The 17,730-nt window shown below is 39.1% G+C and overlaps 1 protein-coding gene and 1 pseudogene across 2 annotated transcripts in view, besides 2 other annotated features; both read left to right on the top strand.

Annotated features, from left to right (window-relative positions):
- COL21A1 (collagen type XXI alpha 1 chain) overlaps positions 1 to 17,730 on the top strand; it is a 337,539-nt gene that overhangs the window by 100,897 nt on the left and 218,912 nt on the right. The window lies entirely within an intron of this gene.
- Positions 13,477 to 13,978: an enhancer, noted in NCBI's record as "NANOG hESC enhancer chr6:56144052-56144553 (GRCh37/hg19 assembly coordinates)". NCBI's record gives its function as "activates a minimal SCP1, AML or CMV promoter by ChIP-STARR-seq in naive H9 embryonic stem cells {active_cell/tissue: H9 hESC(naive)}" and the evidence as "EXISTENCE:reporter gene assay evidence [ECO:0000049][PMID:30033119]".
- Positions 14,700 to 15,207: an enhancer, noted in NCBI's record as "NANOG hESC enhancer chr6:56142823-56143330 (GRCh37/hg19 assembly coordinates)". NCBI's record gives its function as "activates a minimal SCP1, AML or CMV promoter by ChIP-STARR-seq in naive H9 embryonic stem cells {active_cell/tissue: H9 hESC(naive)}" and the evidence as "EXISTENCE:reporter gene assay evidence [ECO:0000049][PMID:30033119]".
- On the top strand, positions 16,437 to 16,802 carry DHFRP6 (dihydrofolate reductase pseudogene 6; annotated as a pseudogene).

The following is a 17,730-nucleotide window of genomic DNA, read 5'->3' as shown; positions in this document are numbered from 1 at the left end:
ATTGACACTTTTTACATTACTTAATTTTATTTCACGTAAAAGTTGAAAGAGAATTAATAATGTGTTTAAAACTAAAAACTGAACATGCACAAATATACGGAAACTTCTGCTTTCACTGTAGATTCAATGCAAACTCAATCTTAGTGTATTTTAAAATTATGCAGAATCTTCCTAGATTTGAAAAATATCACTTTTTATTTGCACTTTGATATGAGCTAGTCTAATGATAAAAGCATACTATAAATTTTTAAGCATAAAATTGAATACATATGTATATATACTTTATATTAACACATACATGAATGCATCCTACTTTAAATGATGTTTTAATACAATTGTTAAAAGGATTGACAACTTTCAGGAATAATTATGCTTAAGATTTAAATTCAAAATACTAGACTTTACAATTACAATCTAAGCTTGAGTTAGAGATCCTCCACTGGGTGGCAGAAGCATACCAGGAATATTCACAAATAGACCCTGGCTCAGGGAATGTGTTGTCAGTGTGTGGATGTTACCTAGGAGAATATGCTGATGCCCCTAAGAAGGTCATGCACTGACCAGTTATTTCTTCAGCTGTGTCCATGTGTTGGCACTGAGCTACTATGTTCTCCCACCTGGTATCCCTTGTGGTGAACCAGGCACATTTGCCAGATGCCTGGTAGAGGGAGATACTCCAAGCTCTGGCTAACAGGGCTTTCTCTGTGAGAGGCTGAGGCACCTGCATGGGGGAAAAACAAAAAGCAAAACAAAACAAAAAACAAAAACTTAATGCCTGGACTTACTATTTCCCTGGTGAGTTCAAGAACCCAGACTCTCTTTGGCGGGGGAGGGGGGGGGTCCCTGTTTTGTTGATATTAATTACACCATATATAAATTCAAAGTGAAGTTTTTGAATTTACTCGGGCAATTAAGGAAGGACCAAGAAAAAGATGTTTGTAATAATTTTAAACAAAAGCAGAGTAACAGGCAAGAAAATATCTAACTTTAGAGATAACACCTTGACTGAACTCATTTCTTCATCCCATTGAAAATACTCTTTATTTTTAATTTTTATTTTTTTGAGACAGAGTCTCATTCTGCGGCCCAGGCTGGAGTGCAGTAGTGTGATCTCAGCTCACTGCAACCTCCACGTCCCGGGTTCAAGCTATTCTCCTGCCTCAGCCTCCCGAGTAGCTCAGATTACAGGCGTGTACCACCACACCCAGATAATTTTTGTGTTTTTAGCAGAGACAGGGTTTCACTACGTTGGCCAGGCTGGTCTCGAACTCCTAAAACTCAGGTGATCTGCCCACCTTGGCCTCCCAAAGTGCTGGGATTACAGGCACCACACCCGGCCTGAAAATAGTCTTTACATGTAAGATGATAAACCATGGTGAAGTAGTGGTTTGTATCTTCAGCATTAGGGAACGAATTGTGATTATTTTAAAATGGGGATTGCTGCCAAGCTACTGACTAACAGGAGATAACTTATTTTAGAAGTCAAGATAGAGTGACATCCTCTAACACAGGACTTTTCACAGTATAGTACATGTAAGAATCCCTTGGGGTTCTTGCTACAATGCCGAGTCTGATTCAGTAGCTGTGCCAGTTACAGCTATTGCCTCTCAACTCCAAACCCACCCTCCTAAGCTCTGCTTTGTGGTGTTGGAGCTAGACTCTGCGACCCGCATTTTGGCTCTTAGTCTCCCTCTAGCACCCACTACTTTGTGCTCAGCTTTTGCAGTAGTGGGTGCCAGGGGGAGACTGCAAGGCCAGAAGTGGGAGAAGGCATCCGCCTGTTTGCAGCTTCTGTATCATCCCAGCAATGCTGCTTCAGTCTGGCAGCAGCGGTTCCTTTCTGTGGTAGCAGCTTCCAGTTTGCAGTTTTTTTTCCAGTGCTCTCAAAATGAACTTCACCTTGCCCCTTCAAACACCCCAGCACTGGCCAAGAAACTGCCCCTTTCTCAGGGATCCAATCTCTTTCTTTTTGTTCCCCTAACTCTAGAGTTGGAGCTGCTTTCTGCAATTGTTACCTCCATAATATATTGTTAGAGTTTTACTTTTACTCTTTCAATTACCTAGTTAACTTTATCCCTAGTTAACAGTTCTTTATACAAGATTCTCACTGTTCAGATAACTGCTGTGGTTTCTTTCCCTTCCCTTGACCCTGAGTGATGCAGTAGGTCTGAGGTGGGGCCCAAGATTCTGCATTTCTGACAAGCTCCCGGGTAATGCCCAGTCGCTGGTCCATGGATCACATTTTTAGTGGCAAGCAGAAGTGCTATTCAAAGGTGTAGAGAAGTGGTTCTCGATATTTGGCTGCACATTTGAATCACCTGGGAGCTTTAGGCAAATAGGAATGGCCATATGTCACCTCAAGTGAGCTTGATTTAGTTGGTTTGAGGTGTTGCCTAAGCATTGGGTTGTCAGTGGGTTGTTAAAATCTTCCTGGCCGGGCGTGGTGGCTCACGCCTGTAATCCCAGCACTTTTGGAGGCTGAGGCGGGTGGATCACGAGGTCAATAGATCAAGACCATCCTGGCCAACATGGGGAAACCCCATCTCTACTAAAAATACAAAAAAATTAACTGGGCATGGTGGCATGTGCTTGTAGTCCCAGCTACTCAGGAGGCCGAGGCGGGAGAATCACTTGCACCTGGGAAGCGGAGGTTGCAGTGAGCCGAGATCATGCCACTGCACTCTAACCTGGGCAACAGAGCAAGACTTCGTCTCAAAAAAAAAAAAAAAAAATCTCCTAAGTGATTCTAATATGCATCTAGAATTGAGAATCTTTGTTCTAGAGCAATGGCTGTCAATCTGGGGGCAAATTTGTCCTCCTGAGGGGACACTTGGCAATGTCTGGAGACATTTTTGGTTGTCAGAATTAGCCGGGGGATGCTACTAGTATCAAGTGGGAAGGGGCCAGGGGTGCTGCTATGCATCCTGTAATACACAGGACAGTCTTCCATGACAAAGGATGATTCTAACCACAATATCAATAGTGCTAAGGCTGAGAAACCCTGATCTCTAGATCAGGGCAAGGTCAACCCAGCTCATCTCTTTATCTGTTTGCTAATTCATTTATTTATTCATTCTGTTGTGCCAAACCTCTGTTAACCTCAACAGGGGAGGCGCCACATTCAAGAGGCTGAAGAAGGGACCTAGAGCTGGCAAGTGAGACATGGGGTTTTAATAGGGGGTTACTTACAAAGAAGACAGTCCAGTGGCAGAGGGCTGGATTAGGAACCGCCTCATATTCAGTGGCGGTGGGCTGGACAAGGTATCAGCCTTCCTACAGTCCAATGGTGGTGGGCTACACAAGATAACTGCCCAGCCCAGTGGCTGTGGGCTGGGCAGGAAAACCAAAACCGCAACTGGTTGCAAACATCAGGCAGTTTATATAGCGTTTTCACATAATAGACTCCCCTTAACGACCTCCATCTGGCAACCTTCATTTAACCTAAAACTCAAGACCTCAATCCCCTGTACAGCCTGTGTTCCAAGAAAGGGGCCAGGGGCTAAGATGTTCCTATCAGGTAATCAATGACTCTCCAGGTTGGTATTCCCGGATTCCCTAGCTCAGAACACATATTCAGGTGCATCTAGCTATACAGGGTCATTCTAAGAGTATGGTTAAATTATTACTATCAAGGGCATTTATCCTACACACATATATCTACTGAGCATTTACTATGGGCTTTTCTAGATGCTGGAGACTACATAAAGTTTCAGAACCAGGTATTATCATAAAACCTTAGCAGAGAGAAAATAGTCCCATAATGTGCATTTTAGGTGAAGATGCACGCTCTGTTTGTTTGCTACTTATTATAGGTGCTGGAAATTAACTGTAGTTCAGTGCTTGCCAACATATGTACAAGCTGCAAGGATTCTCTCAGAACCCTTAGATGTTATGTACTTTGTCTCATTGTATATTGCTGGAAGGAACTCTGGCGTCACAAGAATGACAGTCCCAAAGTGGAGAGAAAGCTGACATGTTTATCGAAACTTTCTTTTAGCTGCTAGCATGGTGCTTAATGCATATCCTTAAGAATTGAGAAATTGGTTAATATCAGTAAGAATGAATGAGTGAACACAGTAATGAATAATTGCAACCAAGTGGGCCTGCACTGTGTCAGGAGCTTTGTTAGGCACACTTTACCTATGTTGCTTTTAGTCTCTAAAGGGGAAAATTTGTCTCCATTTTAAAGTTAATATGACCAAGACTTGGAGAATTTAAATAATATGGCAATTTTACATAGCTTAGGACTCAGAGTTTGTATCATTTTATAAAGTGATAACCCTTTAAGAATACTAAAACTTTTCATCCCAATAGGGAATTCTTGTAATTTACAGGGGCACAGACACTGTGATATACAGGTCAGAACTTTAAAATCATTGCTATGAGTATTGATAATCCTCTTTCATCACTGTACTGCTATCATTACCTCTGACACTTTTAGCACAGTATTGTCTATTCCTGTGCATCCCCAGGTTTCAGGAACCGTGAATGGCAGCTAATCATTAAAGTGCTAACTGGTTCCCAGATAGCTGGCCCTCGGGCTTCCTTGGTTTTGGCTTGTATACTCTGAACCCCCAAACAGATACTGAGTGACAGGTGATCATAAGCACCTGCCCTTTTATCTACTCTTTCTGCTCTTTCACTGGCTCTTGTATCTTGGCTGGCCCTTAGGAGGTAAGTGTAGTGTGAAAACAGGGAGTGTGACTTCAAAGTCAGCAAACACTGAGTCATTTTAAAATTTATTCATCTCTTGAGCATAATTGCAGGAATCATTTTTACTTGTACTTGTACAGTAAAAGTACTTGTACTTTTTATGATTTCGCTATAATTGTAACTAATTTTCTTCTTTATTTGTATTTAAAGTGTACCACAGCAATCCTAACCTGTATTATCTAGGGGAGTGTTTTCCACACCAGAGTGCTGTGAAACCCTTTAGTGGGTCATGCAGTCAAATAGCCAGCATTTCCTTTTTTTTTTCTTTTATTTTTTTAAAATGTAATAAGCTGGAGTAGAATAGAAACTATCAGCATTCCATGCAGAAAGATAAGTGTTATTTCATGTAACTTTTGCTGCATGAATGTTTGTACGGGGACCTGTATTAGCTTCCTATTGCTGCTGCAACAACTTGCCAAACATTTAGTGGTTTAAAACAAACAAATATGTTACCTTAATTTTATAGATTAGAACTCACTCACGGGTCTCACTGGGCTAAAATCAAGATGTTGACTGGGCTGTACTCCTTCTGGTGGCCCTAGGGAAGAATCCTTGTCCTTGCCTTGTTTAGTTTCTAGAGGCTACCTGCATTCTTTGGCTTGTGACCTCTCCCTCCATCTTCAAAGGCAGCAATGATAGGCTGAATCCTTCTCACATCACATCACTCTGACCTCCTCTGCTCTCTCCCTCTTCTACTTGTAAGAACCCTTGTGATTACTTACGGCCTATCTGGATAATCCAGTATAGTCTCCATGTCTCAAAGTCAGTTGATTAGAAATCTTATTTCCTCTGTATTAGTCCATTCTCACATTGCTATAAAGAACTACCTGAGACTGGGTAACTTATGAATAAAAGAGGTTTAATTAGCTCACGGTTCTCTAGGCTGTACAGGAAGCATGGCTGGGGAGGCCTCAGGAAACTTACAATCATGGTAAAGGCGAAGAGGAAGGAAGCACATCTTCTTCACATGGCAAATCAGGAGAGAAAGAGAGAAGGGGGAGGTGCTATACACTTGTAAATAACCAGATCTCATGAGAACTCACTCAATATCATGAGAACAGCAAGGGGAAAGTCTTCTCCCATGATCCAGTCACCTCCTATTGGGCCCCTCCTCCAACACTAAGGATTACAATTCAACATGAGATTTGGTTGGGGACACAGAGCCAAACATATCATCCTGTTTGCTGTGTAACCTAACATATTCACAGGTTCTGAAGATTAGGACACGGACATTTTTGGGGAGCCATTATTTTTTCCACCACAGGGCCACAATGTAAAAGAGTTTGAAAAATACAATCCTATGATAAAATATCCTGCTTCAAATATGTCAAGTAGTCTTGAAGCACCTCCATTTAGTGGCAGATCAAGTTCAACATCATGTCTTTCATATCTTTTAGCCTCAATGAGAGGATTGATCATTTTTGATTTCTATTAATATGGAAATCTACTCATAGATCTGAATGTCAGCAGTGATTCTCCCACCTTTTATTTATTGTTTTCCTAAGAGCAATTAATATGATAAATGAAAGATTAAAGTCAAATCAGTGTTATCTTCAAATAAAAGCCAAGAAGGTAACAAAATAAAGCTACTCTTTTCAGAAAAGAAAATTGAAATTCTGCCTTGAGATAGTTTCATCTCTCTCTAGGAACATTCTTTTCCTCTCCAGGCTTATTTCTATAGAATGTTAGGAGATGATGGCCCCTTCTCATACTTGTATATCACTTTATAGTGTATATGGTTGAGGATTATCTGCTTTGAGTATCACTATAACCCTGTGAGGTAAGTAGAGGCTATTATCCACAGTTTTCAGTTGGAAAAAACAGATATTAAGTTAATGTAAGTAAGACAAAAATAATTAGAAATTTAGGCATACCAATTCACAAAACCGTGTAAACATTTTGAGTTAACTTGTACTTGTTCAGTACTTACTACGTGCTCAGCCCCGTGCTAAATGCTATGGGAATATAAAAAAAGTAGCTTACATGGTATCAGCCTCACGGAACTTAGAATTTTATTTGGGAAATAAAATGCAAGTGTGCTTAAGTGTGCATGTATACATGTGTGCATATATGAGTGTATGTGTGTATGCATGGGTATTTGTATGTGTACGTGTATCTGTATATGAGTGTATTTGTGTATACATGGGTATTGGTATGTGTGCGTGTATGTATGCCTGCATGTGTGAGTGTGTTCACATGTGTTTGTATACAAATTAGTGTGTGTACATGTGTATTTGTAACTGAATGACAGTGATAGCGCAGTGCTCAGTGCATGCAGCTTAGTATCAAACTGACCTTTCCTCAATTCATTTTATGGATGGTCTCTTCTCTAACAGACTTGTTTTGAATTTGCCCTGTTTAAACCTTGCATAAACTGTATCATGGCCTAGTTTGTAGCCCAAACACTAAGATGGTTTCTGACTGGCCAGTTTTTAAGACTTATCAAGGGAGGCTTTAAATATTTTGCTTGTTTTGATTTTTCTGTTTCCTGAAACAGATTGAGCTAATGAAATCCAAATTTAATTAACTGCCCGTATAAAAGGCTTAGGGAAAGGCAAAAAAAAAGTAAATAAAATCAGCATTACTGTTCCCTTTCCATGTGAGAGTCAAAAAGGGAATCATTTGTGGCAGGAAGAAAAGAGTAAGCAAGCTGTGTTTGGGAGATTAGCAAAATTTATTGCAAAGACTGTGCCTTCAGGATGGTGAGATGGTGGGCTAATGAGGGAGGGTGGGGGAGGGGTTAGCAGGGTCCTGGAGGAAGGTTTTAATGAGTGGGAAGAGGACTTTGATTTGCTCCATAGAGATAAGGGAGCCTTAGGAGGGTAGTGGCTGAGAAAATTTTCAGTTAAGTATTACATTACATGAGTACTTGAGAAGACTATACCAATTTAATATAATAAATGTCGTCTTTTGGGCGTGTTTTCTTCTTCTTGTCCTAACAAAAAAGAAATGAGAAGAGAAATGAGAAATGAACCCCTTTAAAGTATATTTATTCTTCTGTGAAGGAATTGTTTTACCTACATTTACCAAGAAGAAAACCAATTTTTGTTGTTTGAGGTAAATTGCTCAGGACAAATGCTACTCCTAGTGTTTTATTCTAAGGACAATTCTAAGACCCTTTCCAGCCCTAAATTACATGAAGTTAATGTAATAAAGAAGAAGAACCTATCACATTTGCTAACTGATTGCTCTTTAAGAAAAAGCTATTTAAGATATTGATGAAATGCTTGAAAAGCCTAGTGATGGTTTCATTGAAATGTAACACATTGTCACTGAGTCTTATTCCGTGCCCAGTTATATGGTAGCTAGGTGGAAGGAAAGAAGAAGGAGCTCAGATATGAAGATGAATAATGCCTGGCACATAGCATCCATTGGATGAAGGAATGTATGAATGGTCAAGTCCCTGCTATTGATTGATTCTGTTTTCTGGGAGGGATAGGAAGAAGTATTGGGGACATAAACACCAAAATCAATAGAGTGCAGGGAGGGAAATGCTTGAATAGAGACTAGATAAGTGGCTCTTAACATTTAGCTGCACATTTGAATCACCTGGGGGCTTAAAAAGTACTAATGCCCAAATGCCATCCTAAATGAGTCTAATTTAGTTGGTTCAAAGGCAAAGAAAACAGAGGAGAGAAAACCATGTCCATGGACCCAGGAAGTCAGAAAAGCAAAGCACATTTTGGAGAAAGGTAAGTTATTTGGAGTGGGTGAAGTGTAGGGTGAACTAATCATAGCTGGAAGATGAACCTTCTAGACAGGAAATGGGTAGGTCGATGAAGTTCATCTCATTGCCAGCGTAATGAGATTGATTTTATTCTGTAGCCATGTGGGAGCTAAGAAAGAATGGTAAGGAAGGGTATAATAAAATTTGTGTCTTAGAATGGTAATTCTGGCATGGGTGGAGGGCGTGGATGGGAAGGGGAAGACACTGCTGTTAGGAGGCTATTGCACTAGTCCAGGAGAATAATGACATTGGGGATGGAGATGAAAAGCCATAGTCAGTAGACACTGCTGGGATAGACTCACACAGTCTTGTTAATCAAATGTGGTAAGTTGATGACAGAAAAAAACAACTACAACAGGATACTAAGATAACAGTAAGTTTTCCAGATTGTGCGTTCAAGTGTGAAGATCACTTTTTAACATTAATTTAAAAACTACAGGCCAGGTGCTGTGGCTCACACCTGTAAACCCAGCACTTTGGGAGGCTGAGGTAGGTGGATCACTTGAGCTCAGACGTTAGAGACCAGCCTGGGCAACATCGTGAATCCCAACTCTACCAAAAGTAGAAAATACAAAATTTAGCTGGGTGTGGTGGCGTGTGCCTGTAGTCCCAGCTACTTGGAAGGCTGAAGTGGGAGGATCCCTTGAACCCAGGAGGTGGAGGTTGCAACGAACTGAGATGGTGTCACTGCACTACAGCCTGGGTGACAGAGCCAGAACCTGTCTCAAAAAACAACAAAACAAAACAAAACTACAAACATTCACATCCTCATAATTACAGTTTTAGTATCTATTAATTGAGGAAATCACCTCACCCCAAGTAATTGGTTGGCTTGCCCCAGGTCGGCCACTCCTGTTATGTTTACTGTTTGATTGCTCTACTGCTGGAGAGAGAGAGAGAGAGAGAGAGAGAGAGAGTGTGTGTGTGAGTGTGTCTACAGATAAAATGCTACCCCTCATCTCTGCCATGCCTTCTGAGACTGCATCCTTTTTGTATTGGAATTTTTGAGTTATGACATATTCTTTCACAAGGTTTATTTAAAAATTTAGTTCCTCCTCCAAATGGCTACTCATAGCTTCGTGAAGTTTGCACACGGTTTTCTTTCATTCATCTGTTGGAAAATGGTCTCATTTTCTTGTTTGTGGTTCTTTCATTTATCACCAGCCCGTCACTGAGCACCAATTACAGAAATGATTTGCTTTTGGTATATGTCTTCCTTTAAAAAACAGTACATATTCATTGTAATTATTTTAAGAATGTAGGAAAGTTGAAGAAGAGAATAAGAATTATTCATAATAGTACTCTCTTGTGCTGTTAACTTGGTGTATTTTAAGTATGCTTTTGTTCCGTGCCTAAATTTATTTGTTAAGTTTGGAGATGGCTTTGTGCTGAATATTTATTCTTTTCCTTTTTTCTCTTAACCTTTATGATGAGATTTTTTTTCTACATGGTTAAATATTTGTCAAAAAACCATTTTAATGACTATATATTATTCTAATACATTTATTTATAATAATTTTTTGGCCACAGTTCCTTGTTGGACATTTTTTTTTTGCTTTTACAAATAATGCTACACTGAGAACCTTGCACATAAATCTTTATGCAAGTCTTGATTCCCTTAAGATAGATAGTTAAAAGTGGAATTACTGGGTTAAAGTGTCCTTACTTCAGAAAGTCTTTTTATACAGATTGCTAAGTTACTTAAAATTTTTTTGAATGTATTTATTGTGTTAGACTGTATTTTGCATACATATTTCTATAACATCTCATTATTGTAATAGAAGTTCCTTCAATGTTTCTTTAAATATGAAGGATTACTTCAAATAAGTACATCTATGCTGAGAAGGCCATTAAAACTTAATAGTAATTCAGGAGACTATTGACACAATTTTTACAAACAGGAGTTTATTAACTCAAGTGGCCATACAATAGGTTTGAATGTGATTTTCAGTAGTGGGGAATCTTACATACTGGATAAGAAATGATTGTTCTTGTTGGGGGACAAATCTATCATCCAGGTAAAGTGTGTGTAGATAATATGTGTCTTTGCAAGATGATTACAATTGACTTATACATTTCTTGGGAAGCTTTTCTATATTGAAAATTGTGTAAGACAAAGGTGTCTGGATTTGATTTATTTAATAAAACCCTCAAACAATGCATCTGGCAGAAGTTTTCAGGCTGTGCAATGTTCTGCATGCTGTTCTGACCACAGAGGAGCTTTCCCATGGTAAACATATGATAGACAAACTTTGAATTATTTATATGGTGTATCTGGCATCCAGGCCTCTTCATCTGACTGAACATATTTCATAATAATAGAACAATAGTATGTGTGGCTCTAGTCCTTGTACCTTTGTCTGTAATTTTAGTTTTTTTCTGGGAATATTTGCTATAAAATTATTTTTTGTTATTATGAAAAAACCATGCGTATGAGAAAAAACAAAATCTTAATGTACAAGAAGAAATTTACTACCATTCCTCAACAGGAACAAATTTCTTGTTTACCTTCTCCAGCTTAAAATTTCCCATTTTTAAAATTCTTTAGAATTCTATTGAAATCCTCATGATACCTACAACTGTAACAAAATTTTGATGGTAATTAATAGAAAGGCTTCCTAAGGTGATTTTCTAGTCTAGAAATACAGACTTTTGTGTATGACCCCAACCAATAGTTGCTTATTTGACATACCTGAAATTTGAAGGCACCAGTGCTTTTAATATTTCTCCAAAAATATTTCGAATGAAAACTTACCACATAGAAAATAGCAATTCTAAAAAACCCACTCTTGACACATCGTCTCACAGCAAAGTTTATTTGGTATTGACAAAAATTTCCTAAGTTTTTCTGGAATTCACTGTTTCTCCTTTTCAAGCTTCTTAGAATGTATTTTTCTATATCTTTCTTATGACACAACTTCTTCTTGTGGTGATGAGTTATTTAATTATAGGCTTTATCTCTTGTGACCAGATGCCATCTAATATATGCCTGTACTCAGTCTTCTACCTAGTCGATGCTCAATTAATACAAGGATCAGGTATTTCTATTATTTCTTAATTTTTCAAACTGAGATCTAGAGGCAACCACTCAAATCACAGGCCATGGAAGTGATGCTTCAGATTAGCAGCACAAAGCTAATGGGGATAAAGAAAGAGACAGACAAATCCATACTGTAATGGTGAAACATTCATCCACTATGCAAGGAGGAGGAATATCAGCAGAATTTGATATTTTACTTTGTAGGTAAGTAAAATTATAAAATTCTGGAAGTATTCTTGGCATCTAAATCTCATGGAACATTTTCTGCTTGTTGAGGTTGATGATAATGATAATAGTGGTGGTTGGGGTGATGCCCACTGTTACCTTTTTGCTTTTCCTCATTGCCATGCTAACTATATGTAAAAAGGACGAAACATGTTCTTAGTACCCTCTTGCAGTTTTTACTATTTATGACTTAAATGTGAAATGGCATTGTAAACTCTAACTTTATAACTGTTATTTGATATTATCATAGTTCATTGAAAGGCAATGATCTTCAAAGACATATGAAAGCTCTCATTTTCTTTTATTCTGTCAGCCCAAACATGCTAGGCTGTGGTCCTGTTTCTGATGTCTTTCCAATTAGGAATTAGGAATAGGAATACTTGGGATATGAAAGCTGGAGGGAAGACAGGGGTTTGAGATGTTGAGCTGTGAGGATCATAGGAAAGTGTGGTGTAGTAGGATGGACACTGGCTTTATAGTCAGGCAGATTTGGGTAAATTACTTTTTTTATCTTTATTTTTTGAGACCGGGTCTCTGTCTGTCGCCCAGGCTGGAGTGCAGTGGCACAGTCATGGCCCACTGCAGGCTTAACCTCTCAGGCTCCAGTGATCCTCCTACCTCAGCCCCTCTAGTATGTGCCGCCACACCCAGCTATTTTGCGTGTGTGTGTTTATTTTTTGTAGAGATGAGGTTTCACCATGTTGCCCAGGGTGGTCTTGAACTCCTGGCTCAATAATCCACCCACATTGACCTCCCAAAGTGTTAGGATTATAGTCGTGAGCCACTGTGCCCAGCCAGGGTGAATTGTTTCGACCCTATAAGGCTCAGTTTCCTGATCTGTAAAGTGATGAGAATAAATCTCTTTCATACAAAAGATTGTGTGCTACATTCCTGGCCTGGTCAAGAAGTATGCAAGCCACAAGTGTTTCCATCTTTCTTCCTTTCTTATATGCTCAGAGTCCTTGATTGGGCTTTTCTGGTAGCGCTTTACTCACCATAAAGACAGGTGAGCCCCTCAAGGGTAGGAATAGTGTCTTGTTCACTTTTCATCTCCAGCGGGCCAGGTCAGTGCTTGGCTGAGAGTGGAGGCTCCATGAGTGATAGTTACACTGAGCTGCATTCAGTTGTGCAAAGAATCCATAATAATATCAGGAATTTGGAGAAGCGTTGAAAAACTTGGAAGGAAGCAGAATCGAGCAATAAAAGCCTGGTCCTGTGCCATCTATCCAAACTTATTTCTTGATAGTTCAGGACTTAGTCAATACTTGTTGAAGGAATGATATTAGCAAGAATATTTGTAAAGGAATCCCACAGGAAAAGCTTGTGGAACTGAAATTAGGTGTCCTAGATGAGTCCTTGGTATGAACTGAACACAATAAATATTCATTGAATCAATGAAAAAAATGATTAAATAAATAGGAGATGTACAACTTGTGGATTGTAGGTAAGTAAAACATTATTTGGAAGGTAACGTATGTAGTGAAAGATGGTAGCTTTTTGTGTTCTGTGTGTGTCTGTATGTGTGTATTTACCACAGTGAGGAAGAGGAGGGTAAAGGAGGGGAGGAAGTGCATTCAGATGAGTCACTGAGGGACTAGGTGATTTATCAGGCTTAACTTCCTTGCATTGCTATTAAACATTAACCTAGATTACTGAAGGAGGTTGGTAGTCTTACAGATAAAGGGAAAGTTATCATCTGAATCACATAGTCAAGATGCAAAGCTATCTGACACTGGTAGTCAGAAGAAGAGATGGCATCTCAGTGTTCTCACTAGTGTATCTTTCTGGTTCAAAGCTGACAGACAATGTTGTTAATCAACATTCACAAAGACTCATTTAAGCACCTCACTTGATTTTTTAAGTGATTAAATGAATGCAGCTTTTATTTTGCACCTGAGATTTCTGAGTCACCCTTAAGTATTTCCAGAATTTTTCCTGCACAATCCTTGAGTTATCAAATCTGACAATTGGAATGGAATGGGCCTCATGAGAGCTGCATTGGAAAGGAGAGGCTGCTGCTTGATTGCCAAGAGAAAGACATTCTGGCCCCTGCTGTTGCTATCAGCAATTCCAGGAACTACAGGAGTCCCAGGCAAAGATGCCTAGCAGCCAACTTCACCACAAACTGTATTAGTCAGTTCTCACATTGCTGTAAATAAATACCTGAGACTGGATAATTTATAAATAAAATATTTAATTGGCTCACAGTTCCACAGGCTGTACAGGAAAAATTATGCTGGCATCTGATTGGCTTCTGGGGAGGCCTCAGAAAACTTACAATCATGGCAGAAGACAAAGGGGGAGCAAGGTGTCAAATATGGCAGGTGCAGCAAGAACAAGAGTGAGGTGGGAGGTGCTAACACTTTTAAACACCCAGATCTCATGAGAACTCACTCACTATAAGGAGATCAGCACCAAGAGGATGGTGCTAAACCATTCATGAGAAACATCTCTGTGATCCAATTACCTCCCACCAGGCCCTACCTCCAACATTGGGGGTTACAATTCAACATGAGCTTTGGGTGGGGACACAGATCCAAACATATCACAAGCCATTGAATCTATCTCAGCCTCATTCTACCCTCACTAATCCCTAGCTCAGCCTAAGCAACTTCATTCTCATGCATGAGCATAATTTATCTAAGGACAAGGAAATTAGAGTATTTCATTACTCTTTCAAGAAGGAAGGTGTTTAGAGAGATGAAGATATTTGCATATTTAGTGGGGTGTTTAATGAGGTATGTGGAGGTTCCAACACAGGTTCAATCATTCACCACCAATCGGTGTGACATGGGGAAATTGCTGCCATGAGCCTCATTTTCTTCATCTGATTGTGACCATGATCTGTTCAGCCAAAGAGTTGTTCTAGAGATCAGTGAAAACAGATGTGAAAGAGCTTTGTAAAATATACCATGCTGCATGAATGCACAAATATGCTTATTTTATAAAGTGCATATCTGAAGGAAAGGAAAAAAGGGAATGGGAAGAAAGAAGTGTCTTGGGCCATATGAAGACTTTAGCTCATTTGGGGAATGGTGGGGTATGCAGTGTTTATAGGCCCCTCCACAGGCCACACAGAATGAGAGAATGAGAGGACAAAGAATGAAGCGCTTATACAAAAGAGCTTTTTTTCTCTCCTCTTCAACCCCCTACTGTCAAACCTTTTGCTCCCTTCTGGCTTGTACACAGGGATGTGTCAGCTGGAATGCTTTTGGAGATCATTAAGTGTAACCCCCAGGCAGTTATCTCACAGTTGTTTAAACATCCCACCATTTATTTTAGCCTATTCACATAAACTGAATAAAGCGGGTCTAATGCTCCAGGGTGTGGATAATGGTGGTAAGAATTCTTATGGGAAAGGAAAGATGAGCGTTTCTGGCACTTGTTTACTTCTGTGTTTGCCAGAGAGAAAATATACAGAAACAATTCCAATCTAAGTGGCACAAAATATCCAAAGTTGTTTTGAAATAAAGACCAGATTTGCAGGAAAAAACTTGCCACTTTGAACAATATCATTATTTTATGCTTCAGCAAATGAAAGATGTTCCAGGAGTCTTTAATGTTGACCAAAATTATATAAAAACATATGAGAATTAACAAATTATGATTTAAGTAGGATTCCCATGCATTTGTGTAATTAGTACAAATACTGTTCCTTTGTCAGAAATATACATGTTAAGTCTGTATCTTAATAACCACCTTTCTGTCTCACTTGAATTCACCAACTATTACTAACATTTTTATGGTTCACATGCTTATCTGTAATTTATTTAGTATTTGCAAATTTCACTGAGAATGTTTAATATCTGAATGACTTACCCAAAATGTGATTTAAAATATGTGGATTTCTAAGATCAAGGAGTTAAGGACATTTAAAAAATCTGCTACACAGTTGTAAAATATCTACAAGAATTGGTATATTTTTATAAATTATGGTGCCACTCTTAACAGGAATGACTATTTAGTGTATTTGGTAGTTATTATGCATACATAGTAGTGCTAATGAAAATACCTCTTGATTAAATGACAATACCTGCTAGAGTGATGTATGCTAGCTGCAGTAACAAACAAGTCTCCAAATGTATAATGGTTCAAGTATTAAAGAATTTAATTTCTCACATAAAGATCAAAACACCACATATTCTCACTCATAGGTGGGAATTGAGCAATGAGAAAACCTGGACACAGGAAGGGGAACATCGCACACCGGGGCCTGTCGTGGGTTGAGGGGAGTGGGGAGGGATAGCATTAGGAGATATACCTAATGTAAATGACGAGTTAATGGGTGCAGCCCACCAACATGGCACATGTATACATATGAAATAAACCTGCACATTGTGCACATGTACCCTAGAACTTAAAGTATAAAACAAAACAAAACAAAAAAACAAAACTTACTGAACAACCGGCTGGGTGTGATGGCTCACACCTGTAATCCCAGCACTTTGGGAGGTCGAGGCGGGCGGATCATGAGGTCAGGAGATTGAGACCATCCTGGCTAACACTGTGAAAACCCATCTCTACTAAAAATAAAAATAAAAATAAAAATAAATTAGCCAGGCGTGGCGGCATGCGCCTGTAGTCCCAGCTACTCGGGAGGCTGAGGCAGTAGAATGGCGTGAACCCGGGAGGCAGAGCTTGCAGTGAGCTGGACCGCGTCACTGCACTCCAGCCTGGGCGACAGAGCGAGACTCTGTCTCAAAAAAAAAACAAAAAAAACAAAAAAAACACAACTCACTGAACAACCAGAATTAGCAAATAAAGTAGAGATGATTTGGATACTTGATGGCAGTTCTGTTTATAAGGAAGCCGTGAATCACCCAGGCCATCTTAAACTATTTGTGACAAGGATCATGCAGGACTTTTGAAAGTGACACGTGTTTTCCAGAAATTGATTTTGAGAAATATAAACTTCTGCCAGAATACCCTGGCGTTCTCTCTGATGTCCAGGAGGAGAAAGGCATTAAGTACAAATTTGAAGTATATAAGAAGAATGATTAATATGAAGGTGTTTTCTGGTTTATTTTAAGTTGTTCCCCCTCTCTCTGAAAAAAGTATGTATTTTTACATTAGAAAGAAAGACTTTTGTTGACTTTAAAAAAAAAAGATCAAAACAGGAAACCTTTTTAAAAATTATTTCAACTTTTATTTGAGATGCAGGGGTACATGTCCAGGTTTGTTGCAGGGGTATATTGAAGCTCTATTGCATGATGCTGAGGTTTGGGGTATGATTGAACCTATCACCCAAGTACTGAGTATAGTACCCAATAGACAGTTTTTCAACCCGTACTCATGTTCCTCCTTCTCCCCTCTGGTAATCCACAGTGTCTATTGTCCCCATCTTTACCATGTGTACACAATGTTTGGCTCCCACTTATACGTGAGAACATGTGGTATTTAGCATTCTGTTCCTGTGTTAATTTGCCTCTGATTTTGGTCTCTAGCTGCCTCCATGTTGCTGGAAAGGACATTTCACTCTTTTTTATGGCTGCATAGGATTCTGTGGTGTGTATATACCACATTTGATTCATCCAATTCACTGTTAATGGGCACTAGATTGATTCCATGTCTTTGCTATTGTGAATAGTGCAGGGATGAACATACACATACATGTATATTTTTGGTAGAATGATTTATTTTTCTTTCTTCATGTACCCAATAATGAGATTGCTGGGTCAAATGGTAGCTCTGTTTTAAATTCTTTGACAAATCTCCAAACTCCTTTCTACAGTCGCTGAAGTCATTTGTATTCCCACCAACAGTGTATAAGCATGCCCTTTTCCCATAGCATTGCCAGAATCTGTCATTTTTTGACTTTTTAATAATAGCCATTCTGACTGGTGTGAGATGGTATCTATCTCACTGTAGTTTAGATTTGCATTTCTCTGATGATTAGTGATGTTGAGCATCTTTTTTTCATATGGTTCTTGGCTGCTTATACAATTTCATCATTGGAGAAGTATCTGTTCATGTCTTTTATCCATTTTTAACGGGATTATTTGTTTTTTTCCTTGTTGATTTGTTT

Source organism: Homo sapiens, chromosome 6 (assembly GCF_000001405.40).
Source record: "Homo sapiens chromosome 6, GRCh38.p14 Primary Assembly".
Classification (NCBI taxonomy): domain Eukaryota; kingdom Metazoa; phylum Chordata; class Mammalia; order Primates; family Hominidae; genus Homo; species Homo sapiens.
The sequence above is the reverse complement of the archived record's forward strand: the minus strand, read 5'-3'. Positions and strand labels throughout refer to the sequence as shown.